This window comes from Homo sapiens, chromosome 16 (genome assembly GCF_000001405.40).
Source record: "Homo sapiens chromosome 16, GRCh38.p14 Primary Assembly".
In the NCBI taxonomy this organism is placed as follows: Eukaryota; Metazoa; Chordata; class Mammalia; order Primates; family Hominidae; genus Homo; species Homo sapiens.
The window spans coordinates 85,009,565-85,031,166 of NC_000016.10; the positions used below are offsets into that span (position 1 = coordinate 85,009,565).

At 48.7% G+C, this 21,602-nt stretch overlaps 2 protein-coding genes across 14 annotated transcripts in view, besides 6 other annotated features; one reads left to right on the forward strand and one right to left on the reverse strand.

Moving 5' to 3' along the window:
• ZDHHC7 (zDHHC palmitoyltransferase 7) overlaps positions 1–18,067 on the reverse strand; it is a 53,457-nt gene extending 35,390 nt beyond the window's left edge. For 4 of the 8 annotated variants that reach the window (NM_017740.3, NM_001145548.2, XM_047434357.1 and 1 more), the window contains exon 1: positions 1,722–1,971. The gene's annotated coding sequence lies outside the window, so the exon portion shown is untranslated. Of the gene's footprint in view, positions 1–1,541; positions 1,972–17,933 lie in introns of those variants that run through there. The other 4 variants (XM_047434355.1, XM_047434352.1, XM_047434353.1 and 1 more) reach the window with 2 other exon arrangements.
• Positions 1,594–1,893: a silencer, noted in NCBI's record as "silent region_7796". NCBI's record gives its function as "represses an Ori minimal core promoter by ATAC-STARR-seq in GM12878 lymphoblastoid cells {active_cell/tissue: GM12878}" and the evidence as "EXISTENCE:reporter gene assay evidence [ECO:0000049][PMID:35858748]".
• Positions 2,118–2,874: an enhancer, noted in NCBI's record as "H3K27ac hESC enhancer chr16:85045288-85046044 (GRCh37/hg19 assembly coordinates)". NCBI's record gives its function as "activates a minimal SCP1, AML or CMV promoter by ChIP-STARR-seq in naive H9 embryonic stem cells {active_cell/tissue: H9 hESC(naive)}" and the evidence as "EXISTENCE:reporter gene assay evidence [ECO:0000049][PMID:30033119]".
• Positions 7,661–7,710: an enhancer, noted in NCBI's record as "active region_11257". NCBI's record gives its function as "activates an Ori minimal core promoter by ATAC-STARR-seq in GM12878 lymphoblastoid cells {active_cell/tissue: GM12878}" and the evidence as "EXISTENCE:reporter gene assay evidence [ECO:0000049][PMID:35858748]".
• Positions 17,939–18,318: a silencer, noted in NCBI's record as "silent region_7797". NCBI's record gives its function as "represses an Ori minimal core promoter by ATAC-STARR-seq in GM12878 lymphoblastoid cells {active_cell/tissue: GM12878}" and the evidence as "EXISTENCE:reporter gene assay evidence [ECO:0000049][PMID:35858748]".
• Positions 18,231–21,602, forward strand: part of KIAA0513 — a 66,436-nt gene continuing 63,064 nt past the window's right edge. For 3 of the 6 annotated variants that reach the window (XM_047434984.1, NM_014732.4, NM_001297766.2), the window contains exon 1: positions 18,231–18,287. The gene's annotated coding sequence lies outside the window, so the exon portion shown is untranslated. Of the gene's footprint in view, positions 18,295–18,629; positions 19,245–21,602 lie in introns of those variants that run through there. The other 3 variants (NM_001388359.1, NM_001286566.2, XM_047434982.1) reach the window with 2 other exon arrangements.
• Positions 18,519–18,588: a silencer, noted in NCBI's record as "silent region_7798". NCBI's record gives its function as "represses an Ori minimal core promoter by ATAC-STARR-seq in GM12878 lymphoblastoid cells {active_cell/tissue: GM12878}" and the evidence as "EXISTENCE:reporter gene assay evidence [ECO:0000049][PMID:35858748]".
• Positions 19,913–19,972: an enhancer, noted in NCBI's record as "active region_11258". NCBI's record gives its function as "activates an Ori minimal core promoter by ATAC-STARR-seq in GM12878 lymphoblastoid cells {active_cell/tissue: GM12878}" and the evidence as "EXISTENCE:reporter gene assay evidence [ECO:0000049][PMID:35858748]".

The window sequence follows — 21,602 nt, forward strand, 5'->3', positions numbered from 1 at the left end:
CAACTCTCAAATCAGAAGCCAATGTGGGCCCCTAACCTATTTTCCAGAATGTTCAAGAATTGCAATTTAGTTAATATTTCAGTTCCATTCCATATTTCAAATATCCCAAGAGCCTTTCACTTTAACCAAGTTCTGACTTTTTTTCTTTTTTTTTTTTTTTTTGAGACGGAGTCTTGCTCTGTCGCCCAGACTGGAGTGCAGTGGCGCGATCTTGGCTCACTGCAAGCTCCGCCTCCCGGGTTCACGTGATTCTCTTGCCTTAGCCTCCCGAGTAGCTGGGACTACAGGCGCCCACCACCATGCCCAGCTAATTTTTGGTATTTTTAGTAGACATGGGGTTTCACCGTGTTAGCCAGGATGGTCTCGATCTCCCGACTTCGTGATCCGCCCGCCTCGGCCTCCCAAAGTGCTGGGATCACAGGCATGAGCCACTGTGCCTGGCCAAGTTCTGACTTTTAACAAGCGAATTTAACAAAGTGACTTTTTTTTTTTTTTTGAGATGGGGATCTCACTCTGTTGCCCAGGCTGCAGTGCTGTGGCATGATCTCAAACTCAAGTGATCCCCCCACCTCAGCCTCCCAAGCAGCTGAGACCTCAGGCGTGTACCACCATATCCGGCTAATTTTTTAATTTTTTTGTAGAGAAGGGGATCTCACTATGTTGCCCAGGCTGCTCTCCAACTCCTGGGCTCAAGTGATCCTCCTGCCTCAGCCTCCCAAAGCGCTGGGATTACAGGCATGAGCCACGAGCCACCGCGTGCGTACCAGGCCACAAAGTGACTAAAAGGTGATTTCAGGTATGTAAACACTGTAAAACATAACAAAAAAGAGATTCTTCATCTGTGAGATGAAGAGTTCAGAAAGAAATATTAATACACATTGACCTAAATCTCTAAACCCCTTGGGATAGTAACAGTAAAATAGATAAATACGTGCGCTTAAGTGCATACACTAAGCAGACTGAAAATGCAACACTGTAGCAGCGATTTGCCCAGCACTGTATACAGCCCAGACAGTAAAAGAAGCTACAAGGCAGGTAGCCGCATCAACACTGTCTCTTACACTCCAATTTAACGGCCACAATAAACTGGTTCTTCATAAGCTAATAAAGTGTGTCTATCTAACTGAGTGTGACAAAGTTGTAGAAGGAACCACACCAGGAGAGGTGAGCCTTACTGCCCTGAAAGCTTTACTGTCCCAGATGCCCTTTCAGGCAACTAACACCCAAAGATGACTGACGTGGAGCAGGAGGGAAGATAACTAGGAAGATGGGCAGAGAATAAAAGAGAAAAGTTTACAGCTTAAGAGGAAGAGAAGCCACAACGCGAAGTGCGAGACTGCTCATTGTAATACCTGCCTATTAAAAAACTCTTTACAGCTTACACAGGGTTTATAGCTGCTCTGTAACCACCACCCCGTCATTAGCCACACAGAAAACCAGGGCTCGGAGAGCTGAGTGTCACGCCCAAGGTCAGGCAAAAAGCTGGGGCTGCAATCCGGGCCCTATCCCGAGAGAGCAACTAAGGAATGACAAGGGGGCACCTGGAAGGGAAGTCAGGTGCGGGCACGGAGGTGCCCCTAGGAACTCCAGAAGGTCGCAGGTGTGCGGCGGGGTGGAGACAGAGCGGCGGAACCGACGGAAGGACAGGGCACGCCGGGGGCCAGAAGTGGCCGGGAGACCCGGGAGTGAGCAGCCCGCCCGGCCCAGCCCGCCGCACTCACCCGAGGCCCGGGCGGGGTCGCCCGGCGCTGCGGCTCCTCCCGGCCTGCGGCGGCGGCGGCGGCGACTGCAGCGGCCGAGGCAGGGACGCATCATGCGGCCGCGCTCATGGCCGGGCTGGAGCGGGCCCCGCGGCTCGGCTCGGCTTGGTCCCCTGGGTCCCGCCGGGCAGGTCGGAAGGAGGCTGCAGCCAAGCAAATGCCTCAGCCCGGAGCCTTGGCTGGAGAGCGGGGCGGTGCGAGCGCCGGAAGTGAACCCGACGAGGTCAGTGACGTCACGCCGGCGCAGTTCCGGCCGCGCAGCTCTCGCGGAGAGGGGCGCTCGAGGCGGTTTGAGGGGACCCGGAGGCTCTTACAAACTGGCAGTTCATTGAGAAAAGGCAGCTTTTAGTCACAGCCCCTCTCGCTAAGACAGAGATGCCGCCAAACTGAAGTCCGGAGGAGAAAGGATAGGGGCTACGGGCTGCAGCAGGGTCCAAGCCACGCCGTTAGGCTGCGGAACCGGGTTGGGAATGCCCTTAGCGGAGTGTGTACCCGCGCCCGCGGCGGTGTCTCAGAGGCAGCTCCAGTGGCCTGTACTATATGCGGGGATGTGACCGAAGGAAATGGGAAAGTAAGGGAGCGGGAGTGGAAATGGCTGAGCCAGAAAGCACTTGGGAAAAGAGGAAAGCGCCCTGAACTGGGGATTGGAGGCCTGACTCCTGAGGTCCGCGGAGCCCCCGGCCTCCTCCTTGAGGGACTTGGACACTAGAGCACCGCCACTGTCCCTTCCATATAGGAAGCCCTAAGTGTTTGAAAGTAGGAACATGTATTTTAAGGCCGGGCGCGGTGGCTCACGCCTGTAACTCCAGCACTTTGGGAAGCCAAGGCAGGCTGATCACTTGAGGTCAGGAGTTCGAGACCAGCCTGAACAACAATGGTGAAATTCCGTTTCTATTAAAAACACATAAATTAGCCGGATGTAGTGGTGCACGCCTGTAATCCCAGCAGCTACTCGAGAGGCTGAGGCAGGAGAATCATGAACCCAGGAGGCGAAGGTTGCAGTGAGCTGAGATCAAGCCACTGCACTCCAGCCTGGGCGACAGAGTGAACAGTCTCAAAAAAAAAAAAAAAGCATATCTTTTTTTTAAAATAAAATTATGACTCTCACACAAATATAAAATGAACATATGTCAAAGATACCATTTAACTCATTAATGATGGTATATATACAATGCTCCACTAGAGCTCTAGATAGCTTAAAGACAAAAGTAAGACCCCATAAGACGAGATAACCCAGAAGGGTATGCCAGACAATACCTACTTGTTCAATGAAGACACCTAAAGAAAACCAGAATAAGGCCAGGTGTGGTGGCTCACATCTGTAATCCCAGCACTTGTAGGAGGCCGAGGCAGGCAGATCACCTGAGGTCAGGAGTTCGAAACTATCCTGGTCAACGTGGCGAAACCCCATCTCTACTAAAAATACAAAAATTAGCCGGGTGCAGTTTTGGGCGCCTGTAATCTCAGCTACTCGGGAGGCTGAGGCAGGAGAAACCGCTTGAGAACCGGGAGGCAGAGGTTGCAGTGGGCCGAGATCGCGCCATTGCACTCCAACCTGGGTGACAGCGAGACTCCATCTCAATGAAAAAAGAAAAAGAAAAAACCAGAATATATCACCGCAAAATATGCCTCTTCGACAGAAAAATTATTTTCAGCTGAAGGCAATTAAGAAGCGACAAATGCAGGAAAAGTTCTCTTTATCCTCCCTTTTCTGCCTAAAGGGCAGGTGTAAATTCACCTTTACTGGACATTCTAGACTCTTCTTAGCCCAGAGAGGGCACCAAAGGAATCTGCAAACAAACCTTACTCTATTAAGTTTCTTCCCATATATAAACCTTTCCATAGTTTGCCACTTTTGGAAGCTCAAAACTCCTTTGTCCTGTCATTTCTCTACAAAAGTATTGTTCTTTTATTATTATTATTATTATTTTACTTTGAGATGGAGTCTCGCTCTGTCTCCCAGGCTGGAGTGCAGTGGTGCAATCTCAGCTCACTGTAACCTCCACTTCCGGGGTTTAAGCAATTCTCCTGCCTCAACCTCCTGAGTAGCTGGAATTACAGGGGCCCGCCACCACGTCCGGCTAATTTTTGTATTTTTAGTAAAGATAGGGTTTTGCCATGTTGGCCAGGCTGGTCTTGAACTCCTGACTGCAAGTGATCCACCCACCTTGGCCTCCCAAAGTGCTGGGATTGTAGGCATGAGCCACCACGCCCGGCCAAAGGTATTATTCTTTGTCGAAGGTACTATGTGAAACCACATTCCAAGCTACCTCTTCGAGTTACTCTTTCCCAAGTTTCTCTTATGAATATATGAGATGTACATGTTAATAAACTTCTGTTTTTCTCTTATTAATTTGTGTTTTTTTGTTTTGTTTTGTTTTTGAGATAGACTCTCGCACTGTTTCCCAGGCTGGAGTGCAGTGGTGTGATCTCAGCTCGCTGCAACCTCATCTCCTGGGTTCAAGCAATTCTCCTGCCTCAGCCTCCCAAGTAGCTGGGATTACAGGCACCCACCATCACACCTGGCTAATTTTTGTATTTTTAGTAGAGACGGGGTTTCACTATGTTGGCCAGGCTGGTCTGCAACTCCTGACCTCAGGTAATCCACCCACCTTGGCCTCCCAAAGTGCTGGGATTACAGGTGTGAGCCACTGCACTCAGCCTAATTTGTCTTTGTTACAGGGACCCCAACCAAGAATGTAAAAGGGTAGATAGAGATAAGGAGTTTTCTTTTCCTCCCCTACACACCCAATAATCTTTGCGCCCATTTTAAAGTTTTCTCAAAAAATGAGGAGTGGAGGGATCCTCACCACATAATTCTTAGTCCCCACACTTTTGTCAACCCAAAATAATCAAAAGGATTGGAATCTAAAGAGAGTTTATTCAAGCTCAAAGTTTCAGGATGGCCACCTGAGAAGTATAGATTTCAAAGCATGGAAGTCACTGTATGGAGTGTAGAAGTTTGGGGATCGTTTATAGAGAAATAGTTTAGGGAAGCTTAACAGAATTTCAACATCTTTCTATAGCAGGCTTAATGCACAGTTACAACAATCTGATTCGTCAAGGTGCTCTTTTTTTTAGAAAAGGTTTATTTAACATTCCACAGTGAAGGTGTGACAGCCATAGAGTCTTTGTGGCATCTGGTGTTGAGTTAGGTACAGGACAATAAAGAAGGCAGTTAATCTGTAACAAAGATTAGTGATTGGAAGGGGAGGAGGTCTCTCCTAGTCAACTACAGAACAAGAACAGCGAGGAAGGGAGTTAACCTACAGTGTAAGAAGTGGAAGTTGCAAACATGCTACATGATCCAGTCTCCAGGGCTTAACTTACCCCTTGACAAATTTAGAGGGTACTGTTGACAAAAAGAGCCAAAGAGACAAACTCTGTGAAATATTTGAAGAGATTTATTCTGATCCACATATGAGTGACCAATGGCCTAGGACACAGCCCCAGGGGATTCTGAGAACATTCCCAAGGTGGTTGGGTCACAGTTTGGTTTTTGACATTTTAGGGAGACAAAACATCAATGAATACGTGTAAGATGTACATTGGTTCAGTCTGGAAAGGTGGGACAACTGAAATAATGTCGTGAGGTTGGGGGAGGGGTGCTTCCAGGTCACAGGCAGATTCAAAGATTTTCTCATTGGCAATTAGTTGGCAGAGTTATTATCTAAAGACCTGGAGCCAATAGAAAGGAATGTGTCAGTTAAGGGGTTGTGGAGACTTTGGTTTCATCAATGTGAAGCCTCCAAGTAGCAGGCTTAGGAGTTTTGTTGTTTTTTTTTTTTTTCTGAGATGGAGTTTCACGCTTGTCACCCAGGCTGGAGTGCAATGTCGCAATCTCAGCTCAGTGCAACCTCCGCGTCCCAGGTTCAAGCGATTCTCCTGCCTCAGCCTCCCAAGTAGCTGGGATTACAGGCGCCCACCACCATGCCCAGCTAATTTTTTGTATTTTTAGTAGAGACGAGGTTTCATCATGTTGGCCAGGCTGGTCTCGAACTCCTGACCTCAGGCGATCCACCCACCTCGTCTTCCCAAAGTGCTGGGATTACAGATGTGAGCCACCACGCACGGCCTCACAGCTCTTAACAGACCTAAGAAAGGTGCCAGATTCTTAGTAAATTATCTCCTGGATCAAGAAAAACACCTGAATAGAAAAGGGGATTCTCAACAGAATGTAGACTTTCCCCACAGGAGACAGCTTTGCAGGGCCATTTCCAAATATGTCAAATAAATATACTTTGGGCCAGGCACGGTTGCTCACGCTTGCAATCCCAGCATACTGGGGGGCCAAGGCAGGAGGATAGCTTGAGGCCAGTTTGAGACCAGCCTGAGAAATGTAATGACACCCTGTCTACAAAAATTTAAAAATTGGCTGGGCGTGGTGGCGTATCCCTGTAGTCCCAGCTCCTCAAGGGGGTTGAAGTGGGAGGACTGCTTGAGCCCAGGAAGTTGAGGCTGATCATCCCACCACTGCACTCCAGCTAGGGAGACAGAACAAGATCCTATCTCAAAAAAAAAAAAGAAAAAGAAAAAGAAATATACTTTGATTTCTCTCAGGGCCTGCTATCTGTCATGTGATGCTATAATAGAGTCAGGCTGGAATTTGGTGTCATATGACAAAAAGTCTGTTTCTTCATCAGTCTTAAGATCTCTGTTTCAATGTTAGTTCTGGTCAGCTGTGCCTAAATTCCAACAGGAGGAGGGATTATATATAGTGAGGCATTTCCACCCCCCCAACCACGTCATGGCCTAAACTAGTTTTTCAGGTGAGCTTTGTAATGCCCTTGGCCAAGAGGAAGGGCCCATTCAGTTGGTTGGGGGGCTTAGAATTTTATTTTTTTAACTTTTTAAATTTTATTATTATTATTTAAATTTATACAGATGAGGTCTCACTATGTTGCCCAGGCTGGTCTCAAACTCCTGAGCTCACGTGATCCTTCCACCTCAGCCTCCCAAACTGTTAGGATTATAGGCATGCGCCAGCACACCTGGCCAAAAATTTTATTTTTGGCTTACAGTCCTGAAATGTTCTTTTATATTTGCATTGCCTGTGCTTTTAGTTACTGGTATAGCTTGCGTAAAATTGTACCCTTGCTAAAAGAAATTAAAAAATCAAATCATTTATTAAAATCTTTGTTTGGTGAGAGAGACAAGGTCTTGCTCTGTTGCCCAGGCTGGAGTGCAGTAGCCCTGTTATAACTCACTGCAGCCTCGAACTCCTTGGCTCAAGTGATCCTTTGCCTCAGCCTCCCAAGTAGCTGAGATTACAGCTGCCGGCCACCACACCTGGTTAATTTTTTTTTTTTTTTAAAGATTGAGGGTGATGGCCATGTTCTCACTATATTGCCCAGGCTAGTCTTGAACTCAAGCGATCCTCTCACCTCAGCCTCCCAAAGTGCTGGGATTACAGGCATGAGCCACCACACCTGTCTCGTTAAAATACTTAACAGAGATGCCAGCAGTGGACAAAAATAATTCCATTCTTATCAAGGATCTTCATCTGTTTCTCAACGGAAGTGATATGTGGTCTTCTGCCAGTCATTTCCCCTTTGTATGCCTCAGCTTTATACAAAAATAATCTCTAAAATATGAGATTAGACTTGATTTCTTTTTTCTTTTGCTTTTTTTTTGAGATGGAGTTTTCACCCTTATTGCCCAGGCTGGAGTGGAATGGTGTGATCTTGGCTCATTGCAACCTCTGCCTCCTAGGTTCAAGCGACTCCCCTGCCTCAGCCTCCCAAGTGCTGGGATTACAGGCATGAGCCACCGCACCGGCCAACTTGTTCAATTTTTTAATCATGAGCATGTATTCATTTTTACATACATGAAAAAATTTATGTAAAAATGTAATTACAAATAAATAAGACAACCCAATAGAATAATTGGCAAAACACTGAACATACTTTACAAAAGAGAATATCTGAAAGATATGAAAGTGCTCATTCTCATTAGTCATCAGGGAAATGAAAACTTAAACCACAATGAAATAGTATCCAGACACCCACTAGAATGGCTAGAATGAAACACCACCAAGGGTTGGCCAAACGCGGAACAACCGAACTTCCGCACACTGCTGGTGAGAGTGTAATTGTTTAACTGCCCTGGACAACTCACAGGAGGAGCTGCTCAAACTGAACATGCACATCCTATGCTCACCAAGAGACTTCTACTAGAATGTTCATTCATACAGTACCATCCATAATAGCCCCAAACTTGAAACAACCTAAATGTCCATGAACAGAATGAATAAATTGTGGCGTATTTGTGCAATGAAATACTGTGCCACAACGACAATACACATACATGCGACACCCAACAACATGAATCAATCTCACAAATATAATTGATACCCGTGGGCTGGGAGAGATCCCCAAACACCAATGGGACCTCAACCCCAGCTGGTGTCCAGGCTCTTGACACTGTCGTGAGAAGGAATTTAAGGATAAGTCAGAAAATAGTGAAAGCACAGTGATTTATTGCAAAGGGAAAAGTACACACTCAAGGGAATGCGGGCGGACTCAAAAGTCACGTGTAAGGGGGTTTGAGGTTGCTACCTCTATAGGTTTCTTTAACCAAGGACTGGGATATTCATGAACATTCCTGGGAAAAGGTGGAGATTTCTTGGAACTGTGGTGCCACCCATTTTTACATCAAACCTGGGTGTTCTTGGAACTGTCGAGACACGGGTGGGTGTGTGTTTAGGATATTAATGAGTGTATATTGAGGTCCTAGGAGAAACCTGGTCACATCCAGTGCCATGTTGGGTCCAGTTGGTCTCAGCCAGTTTGACCCACATCCTGGGTTTCAGGGTCTTATAAGTCCATAGCCTCTAGTCATGTGAAACTACTGCCCAGAATTTAATTCTCCTGTGGCCACCCTGGATTATTCTTGTCTCATAATGTTGAGTAAAAGCAGGAAGACACAAAAGAGTACATGCAATATAATAAAAAGAGGCAAAACTGATCTTCGGTGTAGGAAGACAGGGCAAGGCAGTGATTCTCACTGAAGGGAAGGGAGCGTGGGGGGCAGGGTGCTAGTAATATTCAATCTCTTGGTCTGGCTGCTGGTTATACGGATGTTCATTAGGTAAAAATTCATTCAGTTATGTACACTTATTTGTATTCTTTTTTTTTTTTTAAGACAGAGTTTTACTCTTGTTGCCCAGGCTAGAGTGCAATGGCACGATCTCAGCTCACCGCAACCTCCATCTCCCAGGTTTAAGCAATTCTCCTGCCTCAGCCTCCCTGGTAGCTGGGATTACAGGCAAGTGCCACCACGCCCGGCTCATTTTGTATTTTTAGTAGAGACGGGGTATCTCCATGTTGGTCAGGCTGGTCTCAAACTCCCAACCCTGTCAGGTGATCCGCCCACCTTGGCCTCCCAAAGTGCTGAGATTACAGGCATGAGCCACTGCGCCCAGCTGGTGTCTTCTCTATTTCAAGTAGATGCTGGCAGGGAGAGAGAGAAACTCGCAAAGGTTATGCAGTGGAAAATCAGAGACTTGTTCCGGACGGGTGTTTGGGTTCTTATTTTTCCCACCGAGTTTGTGGTGTTGAGTTCAACAGCCATGCTAGGAAAGCCAGAAGACTGAAATTCCACAACCTGTGGTAGATGTTTAAACCCGAAGAGGGTGACGTGTCCCTGAATTCCTTTTCTGCAGGCCACCTCACCTCCGCTGTAGGTGGAGCAGGTCTGGAATTGGAGGTAGGGTGCTTGGCAAAGCCTTGTGTGGGCCACTCACTGAGTGCCAAGCGTGACCAAGGTCGTCCATGCTCATTCTCTCGTGGCTGTTAGGACTTGACTCAGAAAGTGTTTTCCTCCCCGGTCCCCCATGTAAAATTTCTCCCTCCCTCGCATTCCTGCAACGTATTTCGTTTCCCTTCCCTGGTTTACTCCTTGCCACATCTCACGTCTCACCTGTATCCTTCACTTACCCCGTTGACTATTCCTCATCGGAATGCAAGCCTCACAAAAGGCAGGGGGTTTTGTTGGTGTTGTTCACTGTGTCCCCACTGCCTGTCCAAAAGTAGGCACTCATGTGAATAGCCACTGCATGCCAGCCTGGGCAACAGAGTGAGACCCTGCCTCTAAAAAGAAGTAGTCATCTGGCCAGGTACGGTGGCTCAGGTCTGTAATCCCAGCACTTTTAAGAGGCTGAGGCGGGCAGATCACCTGAGGTCAGGAGTTCGAGACCAGCCTGGCCAATATGGTGAAACCCCGTCTCTACTAAAAATGCAAAAATAGCCGGGCGTGGTGGCAGGCACCTGTAATCCCAGCTACCCAGGAGGCTGAGGCAGAAGAATGGCTCTGTGCCCAGGAGGCAGAGGTTACAGTGAGCCGAGATTGTGCCTCTACACACCAGCCTGGGTGACAGAGCAAGACTCTGTCTCCAATAAATAAATAATAAAAACTTTTGAAAAAGTAGTCATTCAATAGATCTGCACTGAATGAATGAGTGAACTCACTATGATTGGTCCCTTTTCTAGACAAACAGGACCAGAGAGGTTGAGCAGTGTGCTCCCGGTCACACAGTGAAGAGGTGGAGAGCCAGGATGCCGCCCCAAATGTGCCTTGAACTTCTTAGCTGCTGTTATACCCCCTCGTAGACTCACTTCATCCTCACCACCCTGTGAAATCTCTTTGTACAGCTGCAGAAACTGAGAGTCAGATGTAAGCCATTGACCAAATGAAGTACAGGAGCAGAGCCAGCTGGCAGGTGAGCAACACTAGGCTATGAAAGCTCTGCCGTTTCGGCTGCGCCACACCCCTCTGGAAAGAGCCCACAATCCTAGCTCTGTGCCAAGCCAGCCTCCTCGAGGGCTTGCCTTAGGCACGGGTCTCCTACAGTGGGTACCATGACCACATCCACTGAGTCCTTCAGAAGCAAGCCCCTGCCCATTTGTCCTCAGGCTACAATAACCCAGTCCTCATCTTGTCTACCTTCTCCCTGCGATCCTGGTTTTAAACTCATATTTATTCATTCAACAAGTGTACCTGGTACCATGCTAAGTGCTGCAGACACATGAGTGAGCAAAGCTAGGCAAAGCTCCTGCCTGTTATGGAGCTTAGAGTCCATTTTCACAAATGCATAATTGCAAACGTGTTTCTGTGGAGGAAGATGATATTATTTGCTGAGATGATACACCCAGGACTCTGACTTGGTCTGGAGGTCACATGCAGGGATTCCTTTAGGATGTGACATGTGAAAGACATGGATATTTGTTGAGCAAAGGAGCTTGAGGTCAAAGGAAGTGGGTTCTGGGCAAAGGGACACGCAGGCAGGTCCTACAGTAGAAAGGAGCATGGATTCTTTAAGGCCCTGCGAGGGTCAGTGTGTGGAGGGCAAGGGGAAGCGGTTCGAGACCACACAGAAAGCTTGGAAGGGCCAGGTCATGCTGGGCCCTAGCAACAGGTGAAGGACGCTGGCATATGTGAGGGGCAGAGGAAAGCCACTGAAGGACTGGAGCACATTTGTGGTTTTTAAAGGTCACTCCAGGCCAGGCACAGAAGCTCACATCTGTAATCCCAGCATTTTGGGAGGCTGAGCGGGGAGGATTACCTGAGCCCAGAAGTTTGAGACCAGTCTGGGCAACATAGTGAGTCCCCATCTCAACAAAAAATACAAAAATTAGCCAGTTAAGGTGGCACACACCTGTAGTGCCAGCTACTCAGGAGGCTGAGGTGGGAGGATCGCTTGAGCCCAGGAGGTCAAGGCTGCAGTAAGCCGTGATCACACCACTGCACTCCAGCCTAAGTGACAGAGCAAGACCCTCTCTTAAAAAAAAATTAAAAATTAAAAAAGGGGGGGGTGCACAGTGGCTCACACCTGTAATCCCAGCACTTTGGGAGGCCGAGGTGGGCGGATCACAAGGTCAAGAGATGGAGACCATCCTGGCCAACATGGTAAAACCTTGTCTGTACTAAAAATACAAAAATTAGTTGGGTGTGGTGGCGCACACCTTTAGTCCCAGCTATTCAGGAGGCTGAGGCAGAAGAATCGTTTGAACCCAGGAGGCGGAGATTGCAGTGAGCCAAGATTATGCCACTGCACTCCAGCCTGGTGACAGAGCGAGACTCCATCCAAAAAAAAAAAAAAAAAAGCCAGGCGTGGTGGCTCACACCTATAATCCCAGAGCTTTGGGAGGCTGAGGCAGGTGGATCAACTGCGGCCAGGAGTTTGAGACCAGCCTGGCCAACACAGTGAAACCTTGTCTCTACTAAAGAAAAACAAATACAAAAAAATAGCTGGGCATGGTGGCATGCACCTATAATCCCAGCTACTCAGAAGACTGAGGCACGAGAATCACTTGAACCCAAGAGACGGAGGTTGCAGTGAGCAGAGATTGTGCCACTGCACTCCAGCCTGGGCAACAGAGCAAGACTGTGAAAGAAAGAAAGAAAGAAAAAGAGAGAAAGAGAACAAGAGAGAGAGAAAGAGGAGGAGATAAGGAGAGGAGAGAGAGAAGAGGGGAGGGGAGGAGGAGGAGAGGAGAAAAGAGAGCCCTCCAGCTGCTTTGTGGAGGACAGATTAGAAAAGGGCAAAGACAGGCCGGGCGCAGTGGCTCACGCCTGTAATCGCAGCACTTTGGGAGGCCGAGGCGGTTGGATCACGAGGTCAGGAGATCGGGACCATCCTGGCCAACACGGTGAAACCCTGTCTGTACTAAAAATACAAAAAAAAAATTAGCCAGGCGTGGTGGCGGGCGCCTGTAGTCCCAGCTACTCAGGAGGCTGAGGCAGGAGAATGGCGTGAACCCGGGAGGCGGAGCTTGCAGTGAGCCGAGATCGCGCCACTGCACTCTAGCCTGGGCGACAGAGCGAAACTCTGTCTCAAAAAAAAAAAAGGGCAAAGACAGATACAGGGAAATGTCAACTAATAAATGTAGGTGGAGCAATAGAATTAGAAAACTCAGCCAGGCACAGTGGCTCACACCTGTAATCCCAGCACTTTAGGAGGCCGAGGCGGTTGGATCACTTGGGGTCAGGAGTTCGAGACCAGCCTGGCCAACATGGTGAAACCCTAACTCTACTAAAAATACAAAAAAAATTAGCCAGGCATGATGCACATGCGTGTAATCCCAGCTACTTGGGAGACTGAGGCAGGAGAATCACTTGAACGTGGGAGGCGGAGGTTGCAGTGAGCTGAGATTGCGCCACTGGACTCCAGCCTGGGCAAAAGAGTAAGACTCTGTCTTAATAATAAGAAGAAGGAGAAGAAGACAACTCAACATTTGGGGACCACTATAGACTTATCATTAATGGATGCTAAACCACTAGCTGAAAGTTCATTGAGTTTGTTGAAAGATAGGGTATCTAAATAGTCTCAAAGTATCTTCCCCACAAATTTCTGATTACTTACAAAGGAAAAAAGGTACCTTTACAATGGAGAAATATATCACCATTGGTCAAGCATAGTATCACCAATAATGAGACAAATAGACAGTATGTGCCTCCTGATATGAAGCACTAAGAAGATCACAACTTCACTATGAATTGCTGTTGCTAAACTGTGTTACCTGCCTCTAATAATAAGGGAACAATCAGGAAAATCTAAATGGAGGGACATCCTATGGAACAACTGGCCTGCACTCTTAGTCAATATCAGTGTCTTAAAGGACAAAGAAAAGCTGAGGAACTGTTCCAGAGTAAAGGAGACTGACTAGGCAGACAGAGGAAGGGGCCACAAGCCATGCAATGCAGGTGGCCTCTAGAAGCCAGAGAAGACAAACAATTCTCCCCTAGAGCCTCTGAAAGGAACACAGCCCTGCTGACACCTCAATTTTAGGACTTGACCTCCAGAACTGTAAGATAATATATTATGGTTTTCTTTTCTTTCTTTTCTTTTTTTTTTTTTTTTGAGACGAAGTATCGCTCTGTCGCCCAGGCTGGAGTGCAGTGGCGCAATTTCAGCTTACTGCAACCTCTGCCTCCCAGGTTCAAGCAATTCTCCTGCCTCCACCTCCGGAGTAGCTGGAATTACAGGTGTACCACCATGCCTGGCTAATTTTCGTATTTTTAGTAGAGACAGGGTTTCACCGTGTTGGCCAGGCTGGTCTTGAACTCCTGACCTCAGGTGATCCACCCGCCTCGGCCTCCCAAAGTGCTGGGATTACAGGCATAAGCCACCACACCTGGCCAATTGTGTTGTTTTTAAGCCAGTAAGTTTGTGGTGATTTGTTACAAACAAAGGAAAAATAGGCATGGTAGTCAAACACACACAGAACTGGTGCTAATGCATATCACCTGCTATTTTGTATAGTTGTATTTTGGACTCATCCTCTATTCAAAGTATTTCTTTGTTTGTTTTTTGAGACAGGGTCTCCCTCTGTCACCCAGGCTGGAGTGCAGCGGCACAATCTTGGCTCACTGCAACCTTGACCTCCCAGGCTCAAGCAACCCTCTAACCTCAGGCTTCCAAGTAGCCAGGACTACAGGCATGCGCCACCATGCCCAGCTAATTTTTTGTATTTTTGGTAGAGACGGGGTTTCACCATGTTGCCCATGCTGGTCTCAAACTCCTGAGCTCAGGTGATCTGCCTCGGCCTCCCAAAGTGCTGGGATTATAGGCATGAGCCATCACACCCAACCTATTCAAAGTATTTTTTTTTGAGACAGAGTCTCGCTCTGTCGCCCAGGTTGGAATGCAATGGTAGGATCTCAGCTCACTGCAACCTCCACCTCCCGGGTTCAAGCAATTCTCCAGCCTCAGATTCCCAAGTAGCTGAGATTTCAGGCATGTGCCACCACGCTTGACTAATTTTTGTATTTTTAGTAGAGATGAGGTTTCACCATGATGGCCAGGCTGGTCTCAAACTCCTGACCTCAGATGATCCACCCGCCTTGGCTTCCCAAAGTGCTGAGATTACAGGCATGAGGCCCCACACTTGGTCTCAGAGTTTTTTGTTTTTTTTTTTTTTTTTTTGAGACAGAGTCTTGCTCTGTTGCCTAGGCTAGAGTGCAATGGCACGATCTCGGCTCACTGCAACCTCCGCCTCCCAGGTTCAAGTGATTCTCCTGCCTCAGCCTACCCAGTAGGCAGGATTATAGGCACGCGCCACCATGCCCAGCTAATGTTTTGTATCTTTAGTAGAGATGGGGTTTCACCATGTTGGCCAGGCTGGTCTTGAACTCCTGACCTTGTGATCCGCCCACCTTGCCCTCCCAAAGTGCTGGGATTAAAGGCGTGAGCCACGGTGCCCGGACAGAATATTTTTAAATATTGATTTAGCCATCCAATAACTTTACTGCTTCTCCTACCTCCTTCCCGTGTCCTTTGTACAATGTCATGAGATATGTCGGCAGAGGCTCCATCCTGGATATCTGTAGCTTTTCCCTGCCTATCCAGAAACGACCCTCCTTGTTCTGGCCAGACCACCTCAGTTTCCTCAGAAGAGCCTCTGTTCCCTTGCTCTCCACTCAAGTAGTATGAGTGGGGCTGACCCCTACTCCTGTGCAGATCTGATCAATCCAGTTATTCCAACAATCTGGCCTCAGAGATTGGTTCCAGGGGATGAACACACAGGTGCATCAGTCCATTCAGAACAAATCCTGGGGCTTTTGCTGAAAGTATTGAAAGAGAAGATCCTTTTTTCCATGGGGGCTGCTAAGCTGAGACAATATAAGCCTAGAGCTCTTGGAGGACACTCTGTAAAAAGAACCTAATCTGAGGCCAGGCGTGGTGGCTCACGCCTGTAATCCCAGCACTTTGGGAGGCCGAGGTAGGTGGATCACTTGAGGCCAGCAGTTCGAGACCAGCCTGGCCAACATGGTGAAACCCCCATCTCTACTAAAAATACAAAAATTAGACAGGCATGGCGGTGCGCACCTGCATTCCCAGCTACTTGGGAGGCTAAGGCAAGAGAATCGCTTGAATTCAGGAGGTGGAGGTTGCTGAGATTGCGTCACTGCACTCCGGCCTGGGTGACAGAGTGAGATGATTTAAAAAAAAAAAAAGAGCCTAATCTGAGACTGAAGCCAACTCAAAGGAGCAGTGAAGAGTGGGAGAGACCAAGTTCTGATGACATCACTTGTGCCCCTGGATCCTGCTGAGCCAACCCCAGAGCCTTTTATGTCTGCCAACATATTCCTTTTTTGGGGGGGGGGACTAAGTCTCACTCCGTCGACAGGCTGGAGTGCAGTGGCGCGATCTCAGCTCACTGCAACCTCTGCCTCCCAGGTTCAAGCGATTCTCCTGTCTCAAGCCTCCCGAGTAGCTGGGACTACAGGCACCTGCCACCATGCCCAGCTAATCTTTGTATTTTTAGTAGAGACCAGGTTTCACCATGTTGGCCAGGATGGTCTCAATCTCTTGACCTCATGATCCGCCCGCCTCGACCTCCCAAAGTGCTGGGATTACAGGCGTCAGCCACCGCGCCCGGCCCCCTCTCTTTTAAAAACCAGTTTGAATTGAGTTTCCATCACTATAACTGAAAGAATACTGGGAAATATACCTTCCAGGCCCAGATATATATTTCCACCATATTTCCTTGATTTACACATTTATACATTTCACATCAAGAAATAAGGTTAACCTAGTGTGACTTGGTCTTTGTCACTGTTGTTTCATCTTTGGAGAGGTCACAAATATTTTTTTGTTAAGTCATCTGCCCTGAAGATTTTCCAGGCCCAATGTCAGGTTCACTGATCTGTGGTTTGCAGAACTCACTTTCTTCCTCTTTTAAAAAATGGTCATGTAATCTGCCTCTCTCTAACCTTTTGACAAGGTCAGAAAACCTTCTACGAAGTCAGGAGAGGGTCTGCATGATATTCCCCTAAAACAGAATCTGACTCTAAATGAGTCACCTTTTTACAATTCTCCCAAACAGCTGGTAATGCAAGGGCAGGTCAGGATGGCACAAGTCGGTGCCTTGTGCTAGGTTCACTTGCTGACCCAGGGAAGGAGTTTATTCAGCCACAGCATCCATCCTCCTCCATTCCCATGAATTCTACAAGATGGCACTTGCATCCTGCTGGACTCACGGCAGAACCTGCAGAGACCAAAAGCGTACCCACTCGCCTGTAGCAACCACGTAAAGGAATGAGGGGTATTGGACACAAACTGAATTCACACCAAGCTGGAGACACCCTGAGTTCCAGCTTCACATGCATGGTGGCCACACCCAGTTGGTCAAACAAATCTGGAGTGTACTAGAAGGAGCTATGGTGCTGAAGGCTCCATAACCCTCACGGCACTGCAGCTCCCAGCTTTTTTCTTCATGTGTTCCCTTAAACTTTCCCAAGGAGTCTACAGTTCAAGTCTACATCTTTCCAAGGACTGCCACTTCTGCTTGGGGTGTGGGACAGGTACTTGATCATCGATCCATATGTCATCTTTTCTCTTAAGTGATAGAACTTGTTTCTCCTGCATAACTCCCGTAATTTCAGAAAACCCACCGTTTTCTAAAATTGACATTCAGCCCTATTTCAGATATCACTGCATTTCTTTAGAGACAGAGCTTGATCATTTAAGGAGCTACCAGAAGGAGCATTATAGCACTGGAATGTAGTTGTACAAATATCTTCAGAAAATTTGAGGTGTCAGTCAATACTCCAGAACCAGATTCTCCACTTTGCTAGGTGCTGGAGTCGAGTTTGACATAACCCCCACATTACTAGGGAGGGGCTGTCAGTTTATGTTTCTATACTTCCTCTACAACTAAAAAGGCGTCCAAAGGCAGCACTTCTATTTTAAAAACTTTTTTTCTTTTAATTGAGGAGACACAGAAGAAACTGAATGGCCTGAACGTTGTGTTTACTGTATTTGCTGAAAAGATGCCGACTGGCCTAGAATTTATGGAGCAGCTGAGATGGAATCTACCAGTCTCAAAGATGCCCCGTTTTAAAAAGTAAATTGGCCTCTGATTGCTCTTCCATACCAAGTATCCAAGCCGGACATTTTTCTTTTTTAAATCTCTTTTGAAAAATTTTTATACCATTTATTTATTATTATTTTTTTTAGCTCCTGCTCAAAGCCTCGCTGGACTAATTTTAATGGTATGTTGGTTAATAACATGCCTTCGCCGTAACTAGGGGATAGGGAGGGTAACTGACACGGCTGTTTTAAAGGTAGGGAAACCGAGGGCCAGGAAACAACTAGAATCCGACGGTATTTCCTAGCTCCCTGATGGCGCTTCCCATGCCCCCAACTAAATCATGAAATAACCCACTCACCTGTTTGCACCGGGCCTGCCCCACCCACTCCTCCCAGAGTCCGAGAACACCCAGCCTCTAAGCAGAGCCAGCAAGGGGGCGCCGGGCGTACCCGAGAGCGCTCCCACCGAGCGTGGGCAGGCCTCGGGCCCCTCAGGCTCCGCCCTGTCACGTGACACCAAGCGCTGGCCGCCTCCCGCCCCCCGCGAGGGGAGGGCCGTCTCGCGCCTGCGCAGAAGGGGCTGGAGGCGGGCGCGTCCGGTTGACTGACAGCTCGCGCCGCGGCGCCGGGAAAGGACCCGGCTGCTCGCGGGCGGCGCAGTCGCCGCAGCAGCCGAGTCTGACGGCGCCGGTTCGCTGCCCGGTCCGCCCGCGGTGAGAGGTGCGGTGGGGTGGCCTCAGGCCGGCCTGACAGGCTCATGAGGGGAAGGATGACCCGGGAGGGACGGCGGGGACCCGGGATGGGGGTCTGCGAGGGGTGACAGCTGGGAGCGCCGTGGGGCGAGGGGCGCGGGGAGGGAGGAGGGGTCCGCGGGGCGAGCGGGGGCGGGGCCTCGCGGGCCGAGGGCTCAGGCCGGGGTTCTCCGCGGGCTCCTCGCCTGCTGGGAGGCAAAGGGAATAGGGGAAGGTCGCCGGGAGCCCACGGGCGGAGGGGCAGTGCGGACGCCCGTGAATGAGTGCAACCCGGGCCGCTGCCTGGAGGAGGCGCCCCCAACCCCGGGGCAGATGGTGGCAGCAGGTGGCTTTGGGATGGAGCTGGTGTCCCAGTCTTGGGGGAAGAAGAAACCCCGGACTCCTGCAAGGGCATTCTGGGGAGAGGGTGCAAGGACCCCGGGGGAAAGACATTGGCGAGTCATGCGTGTGTGCGGGGTGTGAAGTTGCTGCCTCACCGCTCCCGGGGCTTAGCAGGGTGGGGGTGAGAGAAAGGGGCTTCCTGGCCTGGGTGGCCACCCCTGTCCATTCTGCGTCTTCCCTCTGCTCTTGATGGGCCAGTGAGCAAAGGGGAGGATTGCAGGGAGGATAGCAATGGAAATGCGGTTTTAGCAGCTCAGTTTAGGACCGCTGGATCAGATAGAATTGAACCCGTTTAGAGGATCTTGCAAAGGACAGAATTGAGTGTTCTGGAGCTGGGTGCGTGCCCCCCACCCCCGCCCTTGTCCTGGGTTTGTGCTTTCCTGGGTTGCAGGTTGATTAGACTTGGGAAGATGAAAAGGGGAAGAGGAAAAAAAGACTTTACAGGGGCACTAGCCAGGTCCTATTCCTCTCTAGGTAGGGGCCAGGCATGAGTCCCAGCCTCCAGATTGAGCAGGAACAGCCTCTGAGCTGGCACAGGTGAGGCGCCCCTGACGTGGAAGTAGTGGCTGTGGTGAGTCAGTGTTAGAGGCAGGCTGACAGCTGTCAGGACCGAGGCTGCTTTAGCCAGCCTGCGACTCGATGTTGATGTTTCGGATTCATTTCCTTAGAGGCATCCTCCTCCCTCAGCCTAAAAGCAGGGCAGAGAGATGCTTAACACCGAATCGTTCAAAGGAAAAAGGTTTGGGTAATATTGCATGTGAGCGTTCCTTCCTGTCTTCCCCCCATTTCTCCTGGGAAGCGTATGTTCTCCATTGTTCAGTGTCTCTCTTTGGCTGTCACTTGTTTTTATTTCCACTTTGTTCAGAAATAGGACTGCTTACGCCTTTGAAACACAGGACGAAAGGCTATTGAAATTGGCTCGCAATGAAAAAGTTGACTCATGAGATTTTTTTTCCATTAAAGAGATGAAGATGGCGTGGGACTCACATGTAGGCAGCGTTTGCGATCAGATCATCACTAACCTCTCTGTGTTACATTCTGACGTTTCTGGCCCTGTTTGCCTTTTGTATGGGATGTGTCAGTTAGTGTGAAGGTTGGTTTGCATTATTTGAGATGTAACAGCCAAAGGCAATGAGAAGCCACTAGGTGACTGAGTAAATCACAAGCCTTAAATAATCTGCTGCCAAATCCCAGAAAGTGGTCGATTTCCATAGATATTGAATGTGGCTCTCTTTTCACGACAATAACTGCTTCTTCAAAGGTGAATTGCTTTATAGTAGCCCCAGCGGCTCTGAGGAGCATCTTTTAGGACAGTCCCCAGGAAGGGGTGGGATGAGTCATGCTGTCTGCTTCTCTCTCCTCCCACCTCCTCCCTCCTTTCTCTCATAAAGCAAAAGTAATCAGGTTAAAAGAAACACGAACAGCAGCCTGGGGCAGTTTTTTAAAAAAAGTCCTGAGAAGTCAACCAGCAGCAGGAAAGACATGCAAAGGCAGGAGTAAAAACCCTATTGCCCGTAATAACCCTCACTTTAATACTTCCCAAGGGTTTTCCCATGCAGACTCTTGGCTGATCTTCATTATAAGCTTGGCAGTCATGGTGGGTTTGTTATCGTTCCCATGTCATAGATGAGGAAACTGAGGCTGAGTGACTTGCCCAGGGTCTCTTTGCTACTGGGGGCACAGTGAAGTGTTTAACCCAACCGTCTGACGCTGGATATAGCAGCCCTTACCGCTCTGTGGAATGGGAAGTGGGGCGGATCCGGGTGGTTTGTGCCTCACACGAGGGGTCCCCAGAGGCTTGCAAAACATCCTTCTCTTCCACCACCTCCCCGGCTTACCGAGTCTGCCGCAGCACCCCTGCGCCCGCCCCAAGCTTGAGGTAGTCTGCATGGACTCAGATTTATTTAGACGTCCTTGAGAAATCCAGTAGGAAGTATGATTGCAAAGAGCGTCTTTTGCTTAAGTCTCTGTGTTTCCAAATAGCCCAGGTGTCTTCAGCTGTGTGAGGCAAGAGAGCACGCAGTTCTCCGGCAGCCTGCTAGAATCGTTTTCCTTGTCCCCCACCCAAAAGAGAAATGCGGTGGTTGTGAAACCAAGGGAGCTGACCCAGTAACTTTGTTTATTCGAAACCGTTTTTTATATGTGGCATTGTATGCATTATGGTGACACTTAAGAAAAATAAGCCATAGGGCTGGGCGCGGTGGCTGTTGTTTTCCTGTAATCCCAGCACTTTGGGAGGCCGAGGCAGGTGGATCACCTGAGGTCAGGAGTTCGAGACCAGCTTGGGCAACGTGGTGAAACCCCGTCTCTACTAAAAATACAAAAATTAGCTGGGCATGGTGGCGGGTACCTGTAATCCCAGCTACTCAGGAGGCTGAGGCAGAATCACTGGAACCCAGGAGGCGGAGGTTGCAGTGAGCCTAGATCGCGCCACTGCACTCCAGCCTGGGTGACAGAGAAAGACTCCATCTAAAAAAAAAAAAAAAAGACAAAAATAAAGGCATGGTGTTCTCATGAGGGAAGGACAAGTTTTAATCCCACTTTCTAAATCTGGGCATCATGGGGAGGAGTCCTAAAAAGGAATTCACGGGGAGGTTGGCCAGTAAATGTTTCGGCAAGTCAGTGGTATAAAACAATGGAAAGCCAAGGCAATCCCCAGCACACGAACAGAAGTGTAGGTCTGGAATGAAACAGGTGATAGTTCCAATCTACTCCATGCTTAGAACATTGTGTTCTTTTCTGGACATCACATGTAATGAAGGATGCAGAAAAAAATAAGCATATTAATTGGAAACCGCTACAGTGGTGAATGAATTAGATGTAAGCCTGGAGAAGCTTGGGAACTGTGATTTATTAAGCTCATTCTGTAGAGGCCCAAGGTTCCAAGAACTGAAG